General features: G+C 35.3%; 1 protein-coding gene across 3 annotated transcripts in view; it reads right to left on the reverse strand.

Annotated features, from left to right (window-relative positions):
• GABRB2 (gamma-aminobutyric acid type A receptor subunit beta2) overlaps positions 1 to 23,944 on the reverse strand; it is a 259,969-nt gene that overhangs the window by 58,438 nt on the left and 177,587 nt on the right. The gene's annotated exons all lie outside the window — the stretch shown is intronic.

Here is a 23,944-nt window from a genome sequence, read left to right on the forward strand (position 1 = left end):
TTTAAATTTGTAACCATGGCTTGGAGCAGAAAGGAGGCAAATATCAGCTATTTAGTACATATTTACTGAGATAGACTGAACTTGTGTTAGAAGAAAGGGCTCATGTAAATAGCAAGAGAGAAACTTCGGAGGTGGACAGCAGGCCTGCTGCTCATGTAGACATATATGCACAGTTAAACATGGCACTGCTATTTTGTCTAGGAGAGTCAGTTCAATGAATTGATCTAGAGCATGAGCTTTTTAAATGGCCACTAGCTAATATTTCTAAAGCATTTCTTGTGTGAAGCCAAGTACTTTACATGCATTGCCTCATCTAATCGTTAATAGAATCCTTTACTGGAGAAACTATTTTTCTCATTTTACAGATGAAGACTGTGCAAGTTAGAAAGGTTAAGTGACTTGTCCAAATGCCAGAAATAAGGATTGAACTCAATCTGCTTTAACACTGAAATTCAGTCCCATAGTCACTACATTTAACACTTGACACTATTATTCAAAGCCATATTTTTGAATAATTTTGTAAAATTACAAAAAAATCTGTAATTATGTACACTCTACTTTGTAATGTGACTTTGCAGCTCCCCGCATGCAGAGGTAGAGTATTTCCCCACGCCTTGAATGTGAGCTGCCCTTGCTACTTGCTTTAATCAAAAACAGTATCCTTGGGCCAGGTCTAAACTTATGCTGCAAACAGGCCTTGGATAGCCTGCAGTATGATGAGGGCCATGTGATTCAGTTACCTTCATCATGGCAGCTAGCCAGACAGTCTTCAGCCCACCTGTGTGAGGACCACAGATGCATATGTGAGCCCAGCTAAAATCATCTGGGCCTGGCTTGGATTGGCAGAACCTCCCAGCTGACCTGCCTTCTGAGTGACAATAAATGTTTTTTGTTTTAATCTACTAGGTTTTGGGTTAGATTAAAAAGTAGCAAAATCTAATGGAGAATGCTGGGTTCTGTAGCAAACAGAAAACAAACCATTTTTTTCCCCATTCATTGAATGATTTACACATCTTTAGTTCCAGGATGACATTCATAATCACAGCTGGACATTGCTAAAGGGAATTTCCAACTGATTTTATGAATATTATAGGTTAAGCCATATGACATAACACAAATCAGAAGTCCTACCTAGGTTCCTGTCCCCGCCCTGCTATACATGGGCTGTAGAATTTTGAGCAAATCATATACTCTTTATAGAGCTCAGTTTCTATATCTGAAAAAAATTGTTATTCTAAAACAGCAATTCTCAAATTTTTGGTCTTAGAATCCCTTTATACTGCAACATTATTAAGGATTACAAAATAATTTTATGTGGGTTATAGCACTTCATAATTACCATGTTAGGAATTAAAACATAAATTTAAAAATATCATTAATTAATTGAAACCAACAAAAACGATCCTATTATCTAATGAATATAAATAACGTTTTATGAAGAATAACTATATTTTCTAAAACAAAAGAAAATTAAGAAGACTATATTGCTATAAATTTCTGTAAATCTCCTTAATGTTAATGATTAACAGAAGATAGTTGGATTCTCACATTTGCTTCTACATTTATTTTCGAAATACCTTATTTCATTTAGCTCCTGGAAAACATGACTGTACATTGTGAAAAAATGAAAGTGAATAAGGCAAGTCAAGTCTTGTTTTTGTTATGAAGAAAGTGTTGACCTCAAGGACATATCAAAAGGGTCTCCGAAACCCCCAAGTGTCTCTGGACCACACTTTGAGAATCACAGTTCCAAAGGATCTATAATCTAAAATCCTGTGATTTAATTAAAATTATAAACAATTCATTACAATTTTAATTATTAAAAATTACCAAAAAGTAGCCAACTTGTCTTCCTCTGTAGTAGAAGCAAACATAATTCACTTTTGAATAGCTAGGGATTTAAAGGTCATTGTTATGTTTTAGACTAAATTAATATAAATATATATTTGAAAAGTTTTAAATTTAATGTAACTCATTTGGTTATCCTTTGATGAAGTGGAGCTTGTATATTTTAAAAAGGAAACTAATGCATTTGTATATAATTGAAGCTATTGTTCATTCATATCAGACTATCAACCTACTGAAAGGCCAATGTATGTGAATAAGTGAATTGCCAACTCTCTTCATATGCCCCTTAAATATCTATGCAAATTAATTCACACAAACAAGACTCTGAAAGTGACTTCATTAGTGCCGGCCAAGAAGTTACCATTTGGGACTTCTCGCATAGAATAAAACATTTTCATCTCAAAAAACAGTTATGCAGAAAATAGCTCAAGTAATACAAAAAGCCTTGACCAATATTTATGCAAATCTGTTCTTTTCTAAACTACCAATTATATTCCTGGCTTCAGGAAAAAAAATTCCTTAAATAAACTTAAAAAAAAACCCAAAACAAACTACGGGACCTATGAGAGATATTAAATGATTATTAAGATATTGAAAATTAAATAACTGCCATTTATTAAACAATCATCAAGACCCAAATTCTGTCAAGATAAATGCAACATCCTTAAGTATTTATAGTTCTTGTATTCAAGTTGAATATGGAATTAGTATGCTGTGGTGATTTGAAATATATGTACACAAATTCTTTGATAGCCCACAAATGGTGGAGCTTAATTCCCCTCCCCTGGAGTGTAGGCTGTATTTATTGATGCACTTCTGAAAAACAGAATACAAGAGAGGTGGTGCGGTGTTCCTTCTGAGATTAGGTTATAAAAAGACTGAAGGTTCTGTCCAGGATTTCCTTGCAGCCTTTTTCTCTCATTCTGATTTCTTGCTCTTCCATGTTGTAAACTGCCCCATGGAGAGACTCGCATGGTGGGAAACTGAGGGAGCTCTCCAGATAACAGTCAGAAGAACTGATGCCCTTTTCCAACAGCCTGCAGGAAACTTAAGCTTGCCACAACTGCTTAAGTGGGCTTGAAAGAAGAGCCTTTCCTGTTTGGGCTTTCAAACGAGACCATAGCCCCAGAAAACAGCTTGATGGCAACTTCATGAGAGACCTTGAGCCAGAATCCCCTAGCTAAGCCAATCCTTATTTTTGATCCTCAAAAGTTATAAAATAAGAAATGTCTGTTTTAAGCTGTTAAGCTTTAGGGCAATTTGATAATCAGAAGTAAATAAATAACAAACCTTTTCATAATAATAACTCTTAGCAAATTAGGTATAGAAGGAATGTGGTCAGAACAATAATGGCTGTCAATGACAAATCCACAGCTAACATTCTACTTAATGGAGAAAAGTTTAAAGCTTTTACTCTAGATCAGGAATAAGACAAGGATGTCCACTCTTGTCCCTTCTATTCAACTGGAAGTCATAGAGCAATTAGGCAAGAGAATATAAAAGGCATCCACATTAGAAAGGAAGAAGTTAAATTGTCCCAGTTTGCAGATGATATGATATATACAGAAAATCCAAAAGGTGCCACCAAAAATTTTTTAGAGCTAATACACAAATTCAATAAAGACTCAAGAAATAAAATCAGCATAAAAATCAGTAAAGTTTCTGTACACTAACAACAAAGTAACCAAAAAAGTAATCAATAAAACAATTCAATTTATAATAGCTAAAAAATAAAATTAAGAATAAATTAAACCAAAGAGGCTAAAGACCTGTACACAGAAAGCTATAAAACACTCATAAAATACATCGAAGATAATACAAAGAAATGAAAAGATAGCACATTTTGATGGTTAATATTGAGTGTCAACCTGACTGGATTGAAGGATGTTCCTGAATATGTCTGTGAGGGCGTTGCCAAAGGAGATTAACATTTGAGTCAGTAGGCTGGGAGAAGCAGACCCACCCTCAATCTGGGTGGGCACCATCTAATTAGCTGCCAGTGCAGCCAGGATAAAAGCAGGCAGAGGAACATGGAAGGACTAGAATGACTAAGTCTTCTGGTCTCCATCTTTCTCCCATGCTCAATGCTTCCTGCCCTCGAACATCAGACTCCAAGTTCTTCAGCTTCTGGACTCTTGGACTTACACCAGTGACTCTCCAGGGGGTCTCTGGCCTTTGGTCACAGACCGAAGGCTGCACTATTGGCTTCCCTACTTTTGAAATTTGGGGACTGGCTTCCTGGCTTCTCATCTTGCAGACGGCCTACTGTGGGACTTCCCCTTGTGATTATGTGAGTCAATTCTCCTAATAAAGTCCCCTTCACATATTCATCTATCCCATTAGTTCTGTCCCTTTAGAGAATACACACATGTTCATGAGTTGGAAGAATTCAAATTATTAAAATGTTCATATTACACATTAAATGCACTCCTTATCAAAATTCCAATGACATTTTTCCAGAAATAGAAGTAACAATCCTAAAGTTCATAGGAAATTACAAAAGACTTTGAATAAGCAAAGCAATTTTGAAGAAAAAAGAGCAAAGCTGGAGGCATTATACTACCTGACTTCAAAATATATTACAAAGCTATAGTAATCAAAATAGCATGGTACTGGCATAAAAACAAACACATAGACAAATGGAACAGAATAAGGAGCCCAGAAATAAATCCACATATTTATAGTCAATTGATTTTTAACAATGATGCCAAGAACACATAATGGGGAAGGACAATCTCTTCAATAAATAGCATTGGAACAACCAGTTATGCATATGCAGAAGAATGAAATTAAAACCCTTGTTCCATGCCAGATACAAAAATCTATTCAAAATGGACTCAAGACTTAAATGTAAGACCTAAAAATGTAAAACTACTAGAAGAAAACAAAGCGGGAAAAGCTCCATGACATTGGTCTGGGCAATAATTTTTGGAGCTATTACCCAGAAAGCACAGGCAACAAAAGCAAAAACATACAAATGGGAATACATCAAATTAAAAGGCTTCTGCACAGCAAAAGAAACAATCAACACATTGAAGAGATAACCTACAGAATAGGAGAATGTATTTGCACACCATACTTCTAATAAGGGGTTAATGTCCAAAATATATAAGGAACTCAAACAACTCAATAGCAAGAAAACAAATAATCCAATTAAAAAATGGGCAAATAACCTAAATAGACATTTCTTAAAAGAAGACATATAAATGGCAAACAGGTATATAAAAATATGCTCAATCTCACTAATCATCAGAGAAACGCAAATTAAAACCACAGTGAGATATCACTTCATGCCTGTTAGGATGGCTATTATCAACAAGACAAAAGATATGTATTGGTGAGGATGTGGAGAAAACGGGACCCTTATATACCACTGGCAAGAATGTAAATTTAATATAGCCTATGGCAAACAGTATAGAAGTTCTTCAAAAACTTAAAAATAGAACTACCATATATATGACCCAGCGATTGCACTACTGGGTATATATACAAAGGAATTGAAATTAGTATGACAACAAAATACCTGTACTCCCATGTTCACTGAAATATTATTTATAATAGCCAAGATATAAAATGAACCTGTGTCCATCAATGGATAAGTGGATAAAGAAAATTTGGTATATATACCTAGTGAAATACTACTCAGGGTTAAAAAGACAAAAAAAAAATCCTGTCATTTGCGACAACATGAATGAACCTAGAGGACATTATGTTAAGTGAAATAAGGCAAGAACAGAAAGACAAATATTGCATAATTTCAATTGTATGTGGAATCTAAAAAGTTGAACTCATCTAAGTAGAGAGTAGAATGACGGTTACCACAGGCTGGCAGGAGTGGGACTGGGGAGATGGTAATCAAAGGTTACAAAATTTCAGTTAGATAGGAGAGATAAATTCAAAAGATCTATTGTCCCACATTGTAGCTATAGTTAATAACAAAGTATTTTATGCTTGAAAATTGCTGAGAATGGATTTTATGTGTTCTCATTGCAAAAAATAAGTATGTAAGGTAATGTATATGTTAATTAGATTGAGCTTGTCTATTCTACTATGTGTACATATTTCAAAACTTCATGCTGTACATAATTTTACATATATATAATTTTTGTCAAGTAAAATTAATAAATAAAAAACCTAATAAACCTGTTATCTTGGAAATGGCCACACGGTCTTAGTAGAACAAACACAATTTTTGGAATCAGGTAGATTTCCATTCAAATTCTGCCTACTTTCTACTAAGTCACTAAAGCCTAACTACTGTAAAAAAGCCAATGATACTGCTTATATTTTCCATGTTGTTCTAAGAACTATAGAAAATACCTGCAAAGCAATTAGAACACTGTCTTAATGATTACTGGCTATTATTATTCTGATTACTTATATTTATAGCTAAGGCAAAATATTTATTTTTAATTTTAGATAGTTTAACAATTAAGCTTCTAATACAACTTTTGGCTTCAGTTCAAATTAGAAAATAGTTGTTTATTTCTTATGCACAAGCTACTAAGTGCTCACTCAGGGATTTGGAATTGGGCAGATCACTTAATCTGCATTGTCAGTGAATACTAAGCACATTAAAAATATCTGATAAAGTAATATACCTCCTGTTGCAGGACTGGACAGAGTAGTAAAGGAAGGAGTACCTTGACCACTACCTTTCCAAACTTGGTAAACCAGTTGAGAATGGGGAAGCCCCTTCCTTCCACATTGGTTATTGACAGATACAGGAACGTTGCTCTTATCCTAACCTAAAAGTAATTAGGTCAGTGATTTCAAGCTGATAAATATCAAAAGCAAGCTCATAATTTCAAGATAATGAGGTGTTTAGGTGAGGTGTGCAAGCTGTTACTGGCCTCCTGAATTGTAGCTCTAGTACTTACAACTTGAATCTGTAACCCAGCTTGTCTAAGACAAGTTGCCTAAATGTCTAAAAATAATTAAGGCAGTATATTTGATTTGGTAGCAGATAAGTCCAATGTACATGGTGTCTTTGTGCTGACCCTACCAAACTAAATCAACTGTTTTTATTAGTAGTTTTCTATATAAAACTTGGATATTCCTTAGGATCCAACATTAAAGCAAACTAGCTACAGTGATTTAATAAAGCAAAACAAAAAACCTAAAGTACTAAAAGTTATTTCTTTAGTCCCCAAGGATTGTGCAATTGCAGATAATAGTGCAATTTTTTTGACTGGAGCAAAACTCAATTGATTTTCAGATCCAAGGGGCAGTTTTCCCCAAACTACATTATCTTTATAGAGCTACGGTTTTACACACAAATGGTTTCTACGATGAGAGAGAAAAGTAAAAGACTAATATTACCAACACAGCAAATTGGTATTTAAGACAGTAGCACTAAGACTTAGTGGATGATTTTCCTCTACAGTGTCCTCAGATTTTATTGGGCCACCAAATCACCTATAGAACCTGCTAAATATGCCTAGTCCTGGGTCTAACTGTGTAGGCCTGAGGTTGGACCTAGGAGCCTACATATTTAATAAACGTACCAGCTGATTCTGATACAAGGACCACACCTCTATGCATAGAGTGAAACTCTGCTCTAAAGTTTGAAACATTCCTTAAAATAAATCAAGAATGTCCTATTTATATATACATGCATATATTTATATATTCTTAGATATGGGGTATCCTGGGACTGTGAGACTCTCTAATATTTAAATCTATATCTAAGAGAATGAATAACAGATGTATCTGCAAATGTGACACAACCGCATCCCAAAAGAAAACTCTAGCAACTTCTATGGGCTCTACCTCCAAAATATATTCATCGAATTCTCCTTGTCTCCCTCAGCTGATATCACAGACCATGACTACATCATCTCATGCTGGGGAAACTGATATAGATGCCTAATTGGTTTGCCTACTTCCACTTTTATCCCCTTACAATCTATAGTGGAAGGGAGCTTAAAAACAGCAACAAACAAACAAACAAAACACTAACTATGGCACCTTGCTCAAAATCTTTGAAAGGCTTCCCATTTTATCATATAAATAAAACAAACCTTTTTACTTGATCTGACTGTGTTCCTGCCCACCTCTTTGAAGTCATCTATTAAGACTAATGCAAAAAAATTACTTTTGTAATTAAAAGTAATTACTTTTTGCAATTGCTTTTAGTTGCAAAAACTGCAATTACTTTTGTATAATCCTAATATTACTACTTTTTCCCCTGCTCTTTAAGCCAAACTATACTGGCCCTCTCTTTTCTCTTTAAACACAAAGAGCTCATTTTTGTCTCTTAGCACTTGCCTTGTATTCCCTTCATGAAGATCTCTACATGGATGTTTCTTAATCCTCATTCAGGCTTTAGTTTCAATGAACTCCTCATAAAGCCTGACTTCTCTGTCTTATACTAAGATGTCACCCAGGTCCCCTATAATAATTGCTTTTTATAATATTTCCTTGGTTGATTTTCTTTATAGTTGATCATTCAGAAATAATATTCTCTACTAATTAATTCCATTATCTGTCTCCCTGAACTAGAATGTAAATTCCTAGAGGGCAAAAATGTGTCTATTTTGTTCACTGTGACATATATATAATATATAGAAAATATATGTTATATAAAAATACATTAAATATATTATATAACATATGGTATATATGATATAATATATACATATAACAATATATAATGATGTCATAACAACTGTCACAGTTGTGTATATATAACATATATACATGCATATGTATATAACACACACATATATAACAACTATACACATACATATATGTATGCACATTGTATATACATATCAAATGTCATAGGCATTGCATATATATAACATCTGTGACATTGTTTGGAGGACAGTAGGTGCCTCATAACTGTTTTTGAATAAATAAACTCTACTGATTAACATTTACACAACAGAAAAAATTGGTCTTTTTATCTGCTATGTGTTCCAAGTAAACCATAAACATCTTCAGTAGGTATGTAGTTAAAAATCTATCAGATTAGTAACTGATAAAAAAAAAGGATCTGACTCAAACCATGTCAAACATATATACACAGATAGAAAGTTATTCTGATGGTTCTTTATTTAGATGGAAGCTTTGCCATTTTGCAATATGTATAGGAGTGTTTGAAGGTTTATTTAGTATCCAACCTACAGAAGAATAGGTCTTCTCAGTTTATTATTCATGCAAAAGATTTTTATTTATACCAGAAAAAATATCTTACTCAAGAACCAACTTTATTTATTAATTTGCTGACATACCAACTTTAGTTCTCATTCCTTTTCTGCTCTCAACCTCAAGTTTCTCCAACATTAGAGGGCACAGGGGTGGATATGTGGTTTTAGGAAATAAAAGGAGCAAGGATGAGGTGATTTAAATTGAAAACAGAATTTAGAGCCAATGACATACACATGAATAGGATCATGTGAAGGCAACAGTAAACTAATGTTTTGTGACTTTTTCAGATGTAGAAACTTACCCAAATTTAAGCAAATAGTAACTTGAATACGCTAATTAGACAATGTGTTTTAAGATATATTGTAGTAAGAAACCACCAGAATAATTCTATTTATTTTTTAAGTAGCAACATTATCTCCAAGGCCCTATGTGATTTGAATCTGCCTTCTGTCTTTGTAATTTCTTCTAGAAATACGGCACATTAAAAAGGATGACTATAGTGGATAAATTCAGGTTTCTCTGCCCATCTAGAGCCAACCTTATTGGGCACTGCTCCCCTCCATAGCCCCTGATGAACCAAGGACTATGTCCTCATGTTTGGCATGGCTAACTTTCCCTGGGTGGACATCTGTTTTAGGCTGTATCTATCATATTCTTTTCTTAAAAATGTGGACTCAAAATATTGAGAGAGTGAGTCAGTTCATTCATCATTAGAATATGAAAAGGTCATGGTTTGGAAAGGGCGGAGAGGATAGCAACAGAGAGAACATAGCTGCCTATGAGAAAGTGGAAGAAGTCAATACACAGTGGCAGAACAATGAATCGCAGGTGCCATGGAAAACGTGCACAGGGCTCCTGAGCAAACCAGAGATGCAGAGAAAGAAACACAGAGAGGCACTCTTTGTTCCTGAAGCCTGCTTTAGGTCCTAGTGCTCAAAGAACCCTGGATATTTTTGGAATACTGGATTTTCCCAAATCTTGGGCATCCTATTCTGGGATGTGTCTGAGATTGCTTGTTGTGTTCCTATTCAATACATATTTATTTAGTGCATCCTATGTGCCAGGCACTGCACTTGGCACTTATGGCACATTGGTCAAAACAAAAACAAAAACCACAGATTAAAAATATCTGCCCTCATTGAAAATACATTTTAGCAGGGGGAGATGGGCTATGGATAACAGGAGTAACAAATAGGTGAATTACGTACTATGTTTGAAAATAATATGAGTTATAGGTGCTTTGGACAAATGAAAAAGTAGAGCAATCTAAGAAGTATCTGTTGTCTTGGGAGGACACTGAAGTTGCAATTTTAAGCAGAACCATCAGTGAGGGCCTCATTGGCAAGCTGACATAAATGAACAAAGACTTAAAATGGATGAAGGCCTCAGTTATAATCCTATCTATAGAAAGGCATCCGAGGTAGAGAGGGCAGCCAGTGCAAAGGACCAAAGCCAGGAACATGTGTGGTATATTGGAGAGGCAATGAGAAATCCAGCATGGCTGGAACAGAATGTGCAAGGGGAATGAGTAGAAAATGAGGTCAGAGAAGTGCAGGGTTGGCAGTCACATAATACTCAATCTTATAGGCTATTGTTTGGAATTTGAGTGAGAGTTTTCACTATTATGAGTGAGAGTTTTGAGCAAAAAAAAAAAAAAATGATATGATCTGGCCTGTGTGTTAAGAGAATTATTCTAAGCTTCTTTGTTGGGAATGTTCTACATTGGGTTGGTAAAAACTGAAGAAGGGAAACCAGTTAGAAGGCTCTTGTAGTAACCCAAATAAGAGATAATGGTAGCTTAGAGCAAGGTGGAAACTAAAGAAATGATGAGAAATGATGGAATTTTATAAATATTTTGAAGATCCAGCTAATAGGATCTTCAAAATATTACAAGTGGGATATATGAAAGAGAGAGTGGACAATTATGACCTCAAGGTTCCTGATCTGAGCAAATGGAAGGTTGGAGTTGGCATCAAGGAAGATAGGGAAGGCTCCATGCATTACAGGTTTTAGAAAGGACACAGGAGTAAAGTTTTGGACATACAAATTTTAATACACAAAGCTTGGCATTTAAGAGAGAAGCCTGATTGGAGACAAATATTTCAGTGCAATCAGCATACTGATGATATTTAAAGCCATGCAACTTATGAGAAATTCCAAAGAAGTGAATGCAGATTAAGAAGAAGACCAAGAATTAAGCCCTGATGTCTTGTATTAAGAATTCAGGTTGATGAAAAGGAAACCACAAAGAAATCACTGAGAAAAAATTATAAGTAAGGTAAGAAGGAAACCTATTAAGAGTATGGTCAATAAAATCAAAGAAGGAAAATGTATTAAGGAGTGGAGGCTAAGGAACAGTTTCAATTGCTCCTGCTAGAACAGATCATGCAAGATAACACCTGGATTGTCCATTTAAGTTAGCAATGTGGAGGTCACTGGTAACCAAGATGAACACAATTTGGGTGTCATGGTGGAAGGGAAAGGCATACTGGAATAGTTTTATGTTAAAATAGAGACTAGGTGACTAAAGTAATTTTGCTAAAAAAAAAAGTGGGGGGAATAAGTGGCATGGTAGCTAGCAGGTTCACTGGGGAAAATTAATTTTTTTGAAGTTAGAAGAAATAACAGCATGTTTCTAATATTGTCAGTAGAGAAGTAAAAAAACGATGGTGTGGAAAAGAGAGGGTGAATGGCTGGCGCCATCCCCTTGAGTGGGCAAGATGGAGGGATTATATTTAGATGGAAGCATGAGAACAGCAAGGACAAGGCAGAGCATGTGGGTGTGGATTCTGGTAGGTGGGTAGAGGTAGTGGTGGGAGTATTCAGTGCTCTTATATGATGATTCAGTTTTCTTAGTGAGGTGGGAAGCAAGTTCATTAGCTGAGAGTGAGAATGCAGAAAGAGGTGTTGAGAAAGTAAGGAGAGAGGGGAGAAGGTATGAAGTAGTTGTTAAGGACAGAGGGAGAATGAATGGGCCAGGCAGGTAAAATGTTATTTTCCAGCAACGTCCAAGGCCTAGGTGGCTTGTGGTCATGAATTTAAAGTGTGAGCAGTCACTGTCCTTTACTTTAGTGAGCTTAAGTGGGCTTTTTCTTCACATCCAAAAAGCCTTGACCAGAATATAAAATTGCATGGAAACAGCTTTGCCTCCTTGAAAATCTGTGGGTGGCAACTTTTTATTTTGATGTCTTAGTGATGAAAATCTAGGGCACCATTATGTGTGACTGTCTTTTTTTGCATTGGCAGAGAGGGGGAAAAAACAAAAAACCCCTAACTCAACCAAGTACATATAAGCACACTTAGTCCAAACTGTTAATATTTCATGGGTAAAATGTACTAGAAAAAAATACGTATTCAATACTCAAAAAGATGATTATTTGCTATTTTTTCCTCACCTATGTCATTTTCTTGTCCTTCACTATTATGTAGAGTTGACATAGTTGTAAGACTTCCATAAAACAACACTGATAAACTTCTATAAACCTAAATTTTTTCCATTGTTTAAATAGCATTTTTAGCTAAGTTTGAAATGTAATACCTTTCAAGAGCACAAAATTGCATCTGACACACACACACACACACACACACACAGAGATTGCTCATGAAGGCATAAGAAGGCATAAGATTTCTTTCCCTCAGGGTATAAGGATGGCAGTAGAATAGGTACGCTTTTACCATAATATTGGTGATGATAATACATGATAACAAGAAGACTATTTTTAAAACTTTACCATTTGCCAAACACTATAAAATGTTCTAACTTATGTCTTAATACAATAAAACTACAAATGAATTATTTTTATCCTCTCTCTGATTTATAAACTGTTGATAACTGGGATTTTTATTAGGCTAGAAAAGCACTACAGATGAAAGATCAATGAGTAAGTAATTAACTCATGTTATACTTTGTCTTTAAAAAATGGAGGCCGGGTGCGGTGGCTCATGCTTGTAATCCCAGCACTTTGGGAGGCTGAGGCAGGTAGATCACGAGGTCAAGAGATCAAGACCATGCTGGCCAACATGGTGAAACCCCATGTGTACTAAAAATACAGAAATTAGCTGGGCATGGTGGCAGGTGCCTGTAGTCCCAGCTACTCAGGAAGCTGAGGCAGGAGAATCACTTGAACCCCGGAGGCGGAGGTTGTGCAGCAAGGCAAGATTGTGCCACTGCACTACAGCCTTGGCGACACAGCGAGACTCCGTCTAAAAAAAAAAAATTGTAAAAAGATTATGTATTTCATAGAGTAGGCTACTGAAAAGACCTTGCAAATGACAAATCCTGTAGCACTGGACACTCCTGTTACCTAGGTTGTAATCTGTAACTATTATATTCCATTAAAAGCAACAATGGCTCTTTAGAAAAAAAAATGACTGATTCCCAGTCTGGGATAGGAAGAGTACAGGATGAGCTTAGAATATTTTATCATATTAGAAAGCAAGGAAGAAAACAAAGAACACTAGGTTTGTATATAAGAAGGTTCAGATGTTGATGTAAAGAGGTTCCCAAGAGGCAAAAATAAGGGGATAATATGGATATCAATAAAAATGGCATCTGCATGGATCATAATACTTGTAATATGTTTATTTCTACAAGTTGTTCTCTTTTTCTCTCTCTCTCTTCAACAGTCAACACTGGATGATACTACAGAACCAATTTATTATTTTAAAAACTGGCAAATACGGAGCATAAAGCCTTGTCCATTCTCAGGGTAATAAAATCTTTGAAATAAGGGAAATTGTTTTTATGTAGAAATATTCCAGCTAAAATATTAAGAAAGAACAATAGAATGAGAATATGACCATTCTCTGAGGTGTGATGAATAAATGAATTGAGGCTGCTAACACCACAAAAAGAGAGGCAATTAAATGTTACGTATTTCCTGATGCAAATACCTTTCTCATTTTGAATTATTTTGGTCAAAAAATACAGTAACCTGAATATAAGTTTTAAAACCTAAAAACAAACCCAAAACATAACAATACAAAACACTATGGGAAATGGAAGAAAAAAAAAACAGAGATAACATGTTAAAGGATACTGCACCCTCACTTGAGCCCAAGAGTTGGAGGCTGCAGCAAACTATGATTGCACCACTGCACTCCATCCTGGGTAGCACGGTGAGACCCCGTCTCTAATAAAAAAAGAAAAAAGAAAAGAAGATACTGCACTACAATAATACCATCAGCATTCTTTCAGACTGTGAGAAACAAAAAAAAAGACTCAGCTTTTCTAACATAAAAATTATAAAAGAGAAATAGAAAGAGAAGGAGGCAAGAAATGAGAGACAATTACAATTGTATGGGCTTCATTTCAATCCTAATTTGAACAACCAAATTGTTAAAAAAATGATATATCTAAATATATAGGAACACTGAATTTTCAATGATGTTAAGAAATTATTTTATTATATTTTTATTTTTTAAACTTTTAGGGAAGGAATTATTTTAAATTGTTAAGTGTAACAATGGTATTTATTTATGCTTTAGAAATAATCCTTATCTTTTGGTGTTACAAAAGAAATACTTATGGATATAATTGCATGATATCTATGATTTGATCCAGACATATCTGGATCACGTTGGGGTATAATAAGGGTATAGACTAAATGGGACTGTTGAAGCTGGATTGTGAGTTCATGAGAGTTCAGTACACTATATTTTCTATTTCTGTATATGGTTGAAATTTTTGATTATAAAAAATAAAAAGAAATAAGGAAAAAAGACAAGAGAATTTGAGTTTTCTTGCCTGTTGACATAGCACTGGTAGAGAACAGAGGTGGGATTTAAATTCAGGTCCATGGCTTGTGTTTTTACTTTTTCATTTTTTAAGCTACATCTTCCTGTTTCTTCAGCATATCAAACATCAGATTTGGGAAGCTGCAGCTGAAGGAACCCTTGAAGCCAGGAATTCAAGTCCATCCTGGGCAACACAGCCAGACCCTGCCTTTATAAAAAATTTAAAAATTATTTGCCCATACATACCTCCTGAATGGTATTGCCTAGGTTTTCTACTAGGGTTTTTATGGTTTTAGGTCTTACATTTAAGTATTTAATCCATCTTGAGTTAATTTTTGCATAAGGTGTAAGGTAGGGGTCCAGTTTCAGTTTTCTGCATACGGCTAGCCAGTTTTCCCAGCACTATTTATTAAATAGGGAATCCTTTCCCTGTTGCTTGTTTTTGTCAGGTTTGTCAAAGATCAGATGACTGTAGATGTGTGGTTTTATTTCTGAGGCCTGTGTTCTGTTGCATTGGTCTATATATCTGTTTTGGTACCAGTACCATGCTGTTTTGATTGCTGTAGCCATGTAGCATAATTTGAAGTCAGGTAGCGTGATGCCTCCAGCTTTGTTCTTTTTGTTTAGGATTGTCTTGGCTATATGGGCTCTTCTTTTAGTTCCATATGAAATGTAAAGTAGTTTTTTTCTAATTCTGTGAAGAAAGCCAATGGTAGCTTGATGGGGATAGCATTGAATCTATAAATTACTTTGGATAGTATGGTCATTTTCATGATATTGATTCTTCCTATCCATGAGCATGAAATGTTTTTCCATTTTTTTGTTCCTCTCTTATTTCCTTGAGCCGTAGGTATGGGTAAAGACTTCATGACTAAAACACCAAAAGCAATGGCAACAAAAGCCAAAATTGGCAAATGGGATCTAATTAAACTAAAGAGCTTCTGCACAGCAAAAGAAACTTTCATCAGAGTGAACAGGCAACCTACAGAATGGGAGAAAATTTTCGCAATCTATCCATCTGACAAAGGGCTAATATCCAGAATCTACAAGGAACTTAAACAAATTTACAAGGGAAAAAACAACCCCATCAAAAGGTAGGTGAAGGATATGAACAGACACTTCTCAAAAGAAGACATTTATGCAGCCAACAAACATACAAAAAAAAAGCTCGTAGTCACTGGTCATTAGAGAAATGTAAATCAAAACCACAATGAGATACCATCTCACGCCAACCAGAATGGCCATCATTAATAAGTCAGGAAACAACAGATGCTGGAGAGGACGTGGAGAAATAGGAATGCTTTTACACTGTTGATGGGAGTGTAAATTAGTTCAAACATTATGGAAGACAGTGTGGCGATTCCCCAAGGATCTAGAACCAGAAATACCATTTGACCCAGCAATCCCATTACTGGGTATATACCCAAAGGATTATAAATCATTCTGCTATAAAGACACATGCACACGTATGTTAATTGCGGCACTGTTCACAATAGCAAAGACTTGGAACCAACCCAAATGCCCATCAACGATAGACTGGATAAAGAAAATGTGGCACATATACACCATGGAATACTATGCAGTCATAAAAAAGGATGAGTTCATGTCCTTTGCAGGGACATGGATGAAGCTGGAAACCATCATTTTCAGCAAACTAACACAAGAACAGAAAACCAAACACCACATGTTCTCACTCATAAATGGGAGTTGAACAATGAGGACACATGGAGATAGGGAGGGGAACATCACACACTGGTGCCTGTTCGGGGCTGGGGGGCTGAGGGAGGGATAGCATTAGGAGAAATACCTAATGCAGATGACGGGTTGATGGGTGCAGCAACCCACCATGGCATGTGTATACCTATGTAACAAACCTGCACATTCTGCACATGTATCCCAGAACTTAAAGTATAATAAAAAAATTAATTTTTTTAAAAAAATTAGCTGAGCATGGTGGCCCATGCCTATAGTCCCAGCTACTAAGGAGGCTGAGGCAGGAGGATCGCTTGAGCCCAGGAGTTCTAGGCTTCAGTGAGCTATGATGGTGCCACTGCACTCCAGCCTGTGCCACAGAGCAATGCCCTGCCTCAAAAAAACAAAAAGAAACATTAGGGTTAGAAAGCAATCATTCTTTCTTTAGCTGCAGAAACACAAACTATATTTACAAATAAGGCTGGATAGAACATTAGGAACAGTTAGTTTCCTGGAAACATAAATAGCTGGTGTTTCCTGAATAACCAGAGAGGCTAGAATCACTGTAGTTGTAATTGTAAAGAAGATTCTAAAAGAAGTATATTTTAAATATTCAGTGTTTTGTTTATAATTTTAACAAGTTACAGGGGAAAATTGTTGTATGTTTTCGTAAGATTCATTTTCCTGTTTCACATTTTATCCAGGGTGCTGAAGTGATAAAAATCACATAGTATTTTCAAAATATAATACATTAAACACTCATTATGTAAATGTGTAATCCAGGAGTAACATGTGCAAGTTATAGTATTTATTCTATATTCCACACTATGTCATTTTTAATGTATATATACTGAATGGCAGATACACAAAAATAGGATTATTTATGATTACACACACACACATATAAATCTATATAGGACAATATATTTATTTCTATAACCATAATTATATTTGGTAGTCATTTCATCTTTTATTCTTTGAAAGATTTTTCCTCTAGTCTCCTGTTTTAAATTCATCTAGACATTGTGATAGCTAGGAAGAGTATACGATATAGTTTTGGGTTTTTTCTGTTTTGTTCACAGTATTATCTCCATTCCCTGGAACTGTGCCTAGCATATAGAGGTTCTTGATAAAGGCAGAACGAATGAATACTGAACTCTTGATGCTAAATTTCAAAATGGTAACATTCCAAAACATTCATATGTAGGATGATCACTTAAATATAAAATGTTGGAAATGTTGGATTTAAAGGGATCTTAAAATGTCTCTACTCCAACTATCCATTTCATATTTGGTTGTACTTCCCTCTGTATACATAGGTGTACGCCCATAGCATACCTTAAAGTGAGAAATAAAAAATAACTTTTGATACTTCTTTCCCTCAAATATTTACATTAGATCCTTCTGGCTGACTGATAATTAGCCACTTAACCTAAAGAAGTACCATTCTAGTCACTGTAATTATTACATGCCATAAGCCAGGTTTCTTACAAATTCATTTTAAATTATTGAATAATTTTTATATTATTTAAAAGACTCTTCAACTATATAATAAAGAGACTTGTCCAGAACAGCCATTCCGTAAGTACTTTTTAAAATACTTTAATTAAGAAATTTTTTTCTGGCTTTTATTATAAAATATTTCTCCCACCAAATCTCACTCCCATGAATTTTCCTGTGGTCCTTAATCATGATCACAAATGTATGCTTTTTCAAATGAAGAATGGTTTGGCCATGTTAAGACAAATTAGTGGTACTGAGAAAGGCTCAAGCTACAGCTAAAGAGAAACCGTTTTTTGGGCAGAGTTAGTAGGAAGTGCAGACCAATGCTCTTCATCATAGACTTATGATTCTTTAGCCTAGGTTTATAATCCTAGTTTCATGGGTCTCTAACATACATTCCACTTGTGCAGAAAAGAAAACAAGGTGTCAATGTCAATAAATGTCTTTCAAGCATGAGGCCCAGATGAAATGGCTTAGAGGAAGAACTTATATCTTTAGTCCGTATTAAGTTCCCTCTATCTTGAATAACTTTAAAGCAAAATTTGTCATGTCTATAAAGTATTTCAATTTGTTAGTTAATTACACCGTGCCTCTTTGCCTTATTTTGTAATATACATTTCAATGTAGTATTGTTATGTTTTTATATTGACACATAATTTCACATATGTATGGGGTACATAGTGATGTTTTAATACAGATAATGTATAGTGATTAGATTAGGGAAATTATCATATCTGACTTCTCAAACACTTATCAATTTTTTGTGTTGGGAACATTCAATTTTTTAATGCACATTAAGTAACCCTATTAGAAAAACATAATTGTTATGTAGTTTTGCAGATGAAGAATTAGAAACATGGAGAGGTTAAGATATCTGCTCCAATCAACTAGTAAGCAGCAGAGCCATGATTCTTTCCTTTGCCTGTTTATCTCCAAAGCATGTTTAAATTCACTGTGCTTTGGAGCTTCTCTAGCTGACTGCCTCATTCAAGTAAGATGCACAGGAGCCTCTTAGACAGCAGTGTAATGAAGACATTGCTAGTTACTAATGTTGCCATTTTATTTTTATTCTTTTATTCACTACGATTTGGGAATAGCTATTTCTTTCTCTGAAATTTGACTGTATCACACAACTTGTGACACTCCTTATGCCTGGGGTTATACTTAGGTGAGCCTTTCACCTGCACCTGGCAGATACTATTTACTTCAATTGTTCAATGAATTCGCATGAAAAGTTGTCAAGTTATCTAGTATGAACTCCGTAAAGCCAGCTAAGTTGGCACTTTTATGTCAGGGAGCATTTTGTTCTGGCCAATTCCATAGAGATTCAATGTTATAAAAAGTAACCTAGATTCTACAGAATACAATAAACCACTGCGAAAGAAAATGACAGTCATAGAATGGGAACCTCTTTCAAAACTGGATCTAAAATGAAAAGTATGACTGGCACGGCTAGCTGCAAGGCAGAATGCTGCTGATGAAGCAATGACCAAAGAATACCTATTATCTCTCCATCATCTAAGGGTTTCTATGTTTCCATTGCTCTTAGCCATGAAATAGACAAGTGATTGTTCTCCACATTTGGATACTTGAATCTCATTCAAGTAAATGTGCACAAAGGACTATAAATTTAGAACCAATCATTTGACATTATCTGAACAAAATCAGCAGAGATCTAATTTAACTAAAAATTTTTTTTCTATCCAAATGCCAGTCAATCTGGGTACCTGAGAGCAGAAATAACACTCACCATTATACTTTTAGCACAAGGTAAGTGCTCAATTAACTGTTAACTGAAAGAATCCACGCAAAAATGCATGAATGGTACCCTATTTTTAATAGAAAAGTAAGAACAAGGCCAGGCGTGATGGCTCACGCCTGTAATCCCAGCACTTTGGGAGGATGAGGTGGGTGGATCACCTGAGGTCAGGAGTTTGAGACCAGCCTGGCCAACATGGCAAAACCCCGTCTCTACTAATAAATACAAAAATTAAGTAGGCGTGGTGGCAGGCCCCTGTAATCGCAGCTACTCAGGAAGGCTAAGGCTGGTGAATCGCTTGAACCTGGAAGGCAAAGGTTGCAGTAATCCGAGATCGCACCAATGCACTCCAGCCTGGGCAACAGAGAAAGACTCCATCTCAAAAAGAAAAGAAAAGAAAAGACAAATCAGTTAGTATCTACTCTATTGTTGATAAAGATTACTAAAATATTGTTTAAAGAAAAATCAACCTTTTCAGAAATTCAGATATTGCTCTAAGAATATATTCCACTGATAAGGAAAAAAATCTGTGAGAGACAATAACATATTTTCTAAGTTATTAATCTTTCACTGTCTTGTTTAGGAATCTCTTGATATCTATAGTCCATAAAAGTTTCAAATTCTATTCTTTGAATTTCTTCAAATTATCATTTTGCATTTTTAAAACTATTTCAAATTGTCATGAAGGAAATGTTCTGCATGTGATTTAAAAAACATTAAAATACTACAACTTAATTCAAACATATGGGGCTCTTGTGAAGATAAATGAGATAATTCACATGAAAATGCTTAGCATGAGACCTGGCATATACTCAGAACTTAATCAGTGTAATCAGTGTTAGTTATTATTGTTGTTATTATTGTTGAACATTTAAATAAAAATTGAAAAACAACCATATATTTTTCGTTTGCTTAACTATTCTGAGTTAACGTATTTTTTTTCTCTAAAAGCAGAGACTAAGAATTATCATCTTTTTCCAGCCTTTTCCAATTTGCACTTTAGAATTTCTAGTTTGTTGTATTTAATTCCATTTCCCCTCCAAATTTTCTAACCACACAATTCATATGCACATACACATTTATTATATGTTGCATCTTCCTCAGTTGCATTAGGTAAAGCCTAATTTTTTTCGTGCCTCTAAAACACGGCAAAAAAATGTCACTTTGAGTGTCAAAAAATGTTACCACATGTTCCAAAGTTCAGTGGGAATCATATACACATTCAAAGACTAAGTTTAGCTTCAAAATACTAACACCAGGAAATAGTCAACAGAATTTCACAACATTAAATGTCTCTTCCAAAGATAAATAGGCATTCTAATGGGAGATTTTCAAGATGCATCTGGAATAAAAAAATAAAACTTCCCAAGTCCATCTGCAGTCAGGCATCTCATCAGAGATTCAATTCCCTGTACATGGCATACCTGATGTAGGTAGAAATCTTAACACTATTGTCCAATATGCACAGGTTGGTCTATGTGACCCCCAAAATTGGGATCTTGTTTTACAAGAATATCCTATTTAATTTATAATCCAATTCTCCCTCTCTGACACACACACACACACACACACACACACACACACTCTTCCACCTCCTAAAATATTTTGAAAAACTAAGTATAGATAAAAAATAATATTAGGAAAGGTGGAAAAATTGGAGCTCTGTCAGCCAAAGACAAAAATACACACAAGGAAGCAATATTTTTTCTGAAATTAACTGCTGAAAAGTCTATTCAATTAACAGTGAATGATCAATAATAGGCCAGAGATTTGAGGAGAGACCTCTGTGTCACTTTGTTAGATATTACAGCTTAGGGGATGGAATAACACATTCAGCAAGGGGTCTATGATGCCCAAAGCTGTATGATGCCCTTATCTTCAAACAATTGTTTCTCAAATCCTAGTCTAGTAGAAATATCACTTTGCTCATTCTGTAAAAAATTCTACTAGATTACAATTTGGAAGATTTCTAGCTTCTCTTGGAAAAAGAAAATTAGACCTGATGGAAATAATCTCCCGGAGTTGAGTAGAGGCTGCCTGTTCGAGATGTCGCATACTCTGCACACCTGGACAAACTGATGTATACAACCTACCTGACATTTGGAGGCAATTCGTTTTTCAGTGCCAGTCTAAGAAGCGATAGTCATCCAAACAAGACATGATAAAGACTTAGACTAGAGAAGTGTTTGTGGGGTTAGACAAGGAAAGAAGCTGAGGCATTTTGAAGCAGGATTTGTAGAGATGTTAGAGATTAGATGGAAAGTGAGGTGTAATTTTAGTTAATTGTCTTCTAAGTTTCTGGATTGACAGACTGCTGGTTACTCAATCTTTACTTAAGGTAAAGGCTTCACATTTAGCTAAATGTTTGATGGTATAATGTAGGGCCCTGCATAGCAAATTGTATTTATGACAGAATCAGTTTTATTAGATCTTATTTTTAAAAAAGAGAAGGCAGAAATCGATCCAATTATACATGTTGACAACTAAGTAATGCCTATGGGCCCCACCGCATTTACATTTGGCAACTTCTAACCCTGGAGCTTCTTATCTTTGAATTCTTTAGATCTTATTATTAGAACAACTTGCTTTAGAAATTCTGATAAAGTTCCCGGTTTCTCTCATGTGGCTGTGAACTGATTAGTATGCCCAAATCTATGCTGTGAAATAGATTTCCTGCAGGGAAACTGGCAGCTCCTGCTGTGAGACCATTGAATTGTTCTCAATCAAGGAGTTTTAAGAGCAATACTCTTTTTCTAAAAATAATATTTTAAATGACAGTTCTATTTTTGACTCTGTAGATAAGAATATGCATTAAGATAGGCATATAGTGCAGATTTCTCAAACATATGAGTGAATAGCCTCTTTTCTTTTATAAAGACGAAATTTATATGAGATGGATTTAAACTTGTCCTTTAATTTAGAAAGAACGAATGCTTTCTCAGAGAAAGAGAGAGAGAGGAGGAGAGGGAGAGAGAGAGAGAGAGAGAGAGACTGATGTCCCCTATCAGAAATTGGAATTTATTTGCATGTTAAGTTGTTTAAATGATCAAACTTTATTGAGAAAGAGAGAGAGAGATGCTTGGGGGAATGTTTTTTTAACCCTTGGGAATAGATTTGCCAAACTTCACATGGAATTTTCATAACAGGTTTGCTATATTTGCCAATAATTAGAATTTATCCATGTTAATATCGACCTGAAATCTTTCATACAATACTCTTTAGTGTATTTGCCTGACCTCTTATCTGTCTTTCTTCAGTGTTTAATATGAAATGGTGAATTTCTTACTGTGCATCTAACTTGTGAAGGCAATTTTAATGATGTTAAGGAAGTTTCCCTGACTGATCTCTTCAGACCTTTTATTTCAAAATAAATTAAATTGTCTCTGCTTGCCAGGCTCCTCCTTTCAACCTGCTGAAGACCAACTCATGACCAGAATCTCTGGGTAAGATCTAAGTTATCATCTCAGTGATGGCTAAAGTTCAGTATGATGAAACTTTCAGCAGGGCTAAAAATCTTAAGACCAAATTATGAAGAAGAAAAACACAAGGTAAGACTTAGTTCAGTGTTGCATGGCATTGGGATATGACCTTGTCAAGAAGATATTTCCTTTTCAAAAATGAAATAGCAAAAAAGTCTAGATTACTTACAGGAAAACAAAGATAGACTTGCTAAAAAGGAGGACTATAGTGAGTTAAAGCAAGTATCATTTGGTGTCCTGTGCTTTTGTTAAGCAGTAGGTAAGCTTAGCTCAGTCTACCCATCACAGTGATGATAAATCTGAATTTAACTCCAGTTTTGAGAGGCTAGCTTCTGCAGAAGTAGAGTTGAAAATAATTCTAGGAGAACTACGTGACTTGGGATGGCCTATGTGGGAAGAGAAAAGTGAACAGATCTACCGCCTCCATTTGTTAAAATGTGCCAGGGGCTTTGTGGCCAAACTCTGTAGATCTGTCATTTCACCTAGAGAAAACTGCTCTGTGACTTCCTATGGGCTCTGGATCATCCAAAAAATCTTCTCTCCTTCTTCTCTCCCAGCATTCAATTAGGACTTTTGGCAAGACTGGGTACTCAGTGTCTTCCAGCAAGAGACTGAAATCTTCTGCAGCTTGTAAATAAACTTAACAATTTAATAGTCTAGATACTTCAGAAATCCTCCTGCCATGTAGGTGGCAATAAAACCTGAAGTCAACAGGCAGAGGCCACCTTTATTACTCACCGGAAAATTTAACATGGAAGAGTACCCAAGTGGC

The sequence above is a fragment of the Homo sapiens genome, chromosome 5 (assembly GCF_000001405.40).
Source record: "Homo sapiens chromosome 5, GRCh38.p14 Primary Assembly".
In the NCBI taxonomy this organism is placed as follows: domain Eukaryota; kingdom Metazoa; phylum Chordata; class Mammalia; order Primates; family Hominidae; genus Homo; species Homo sapiens.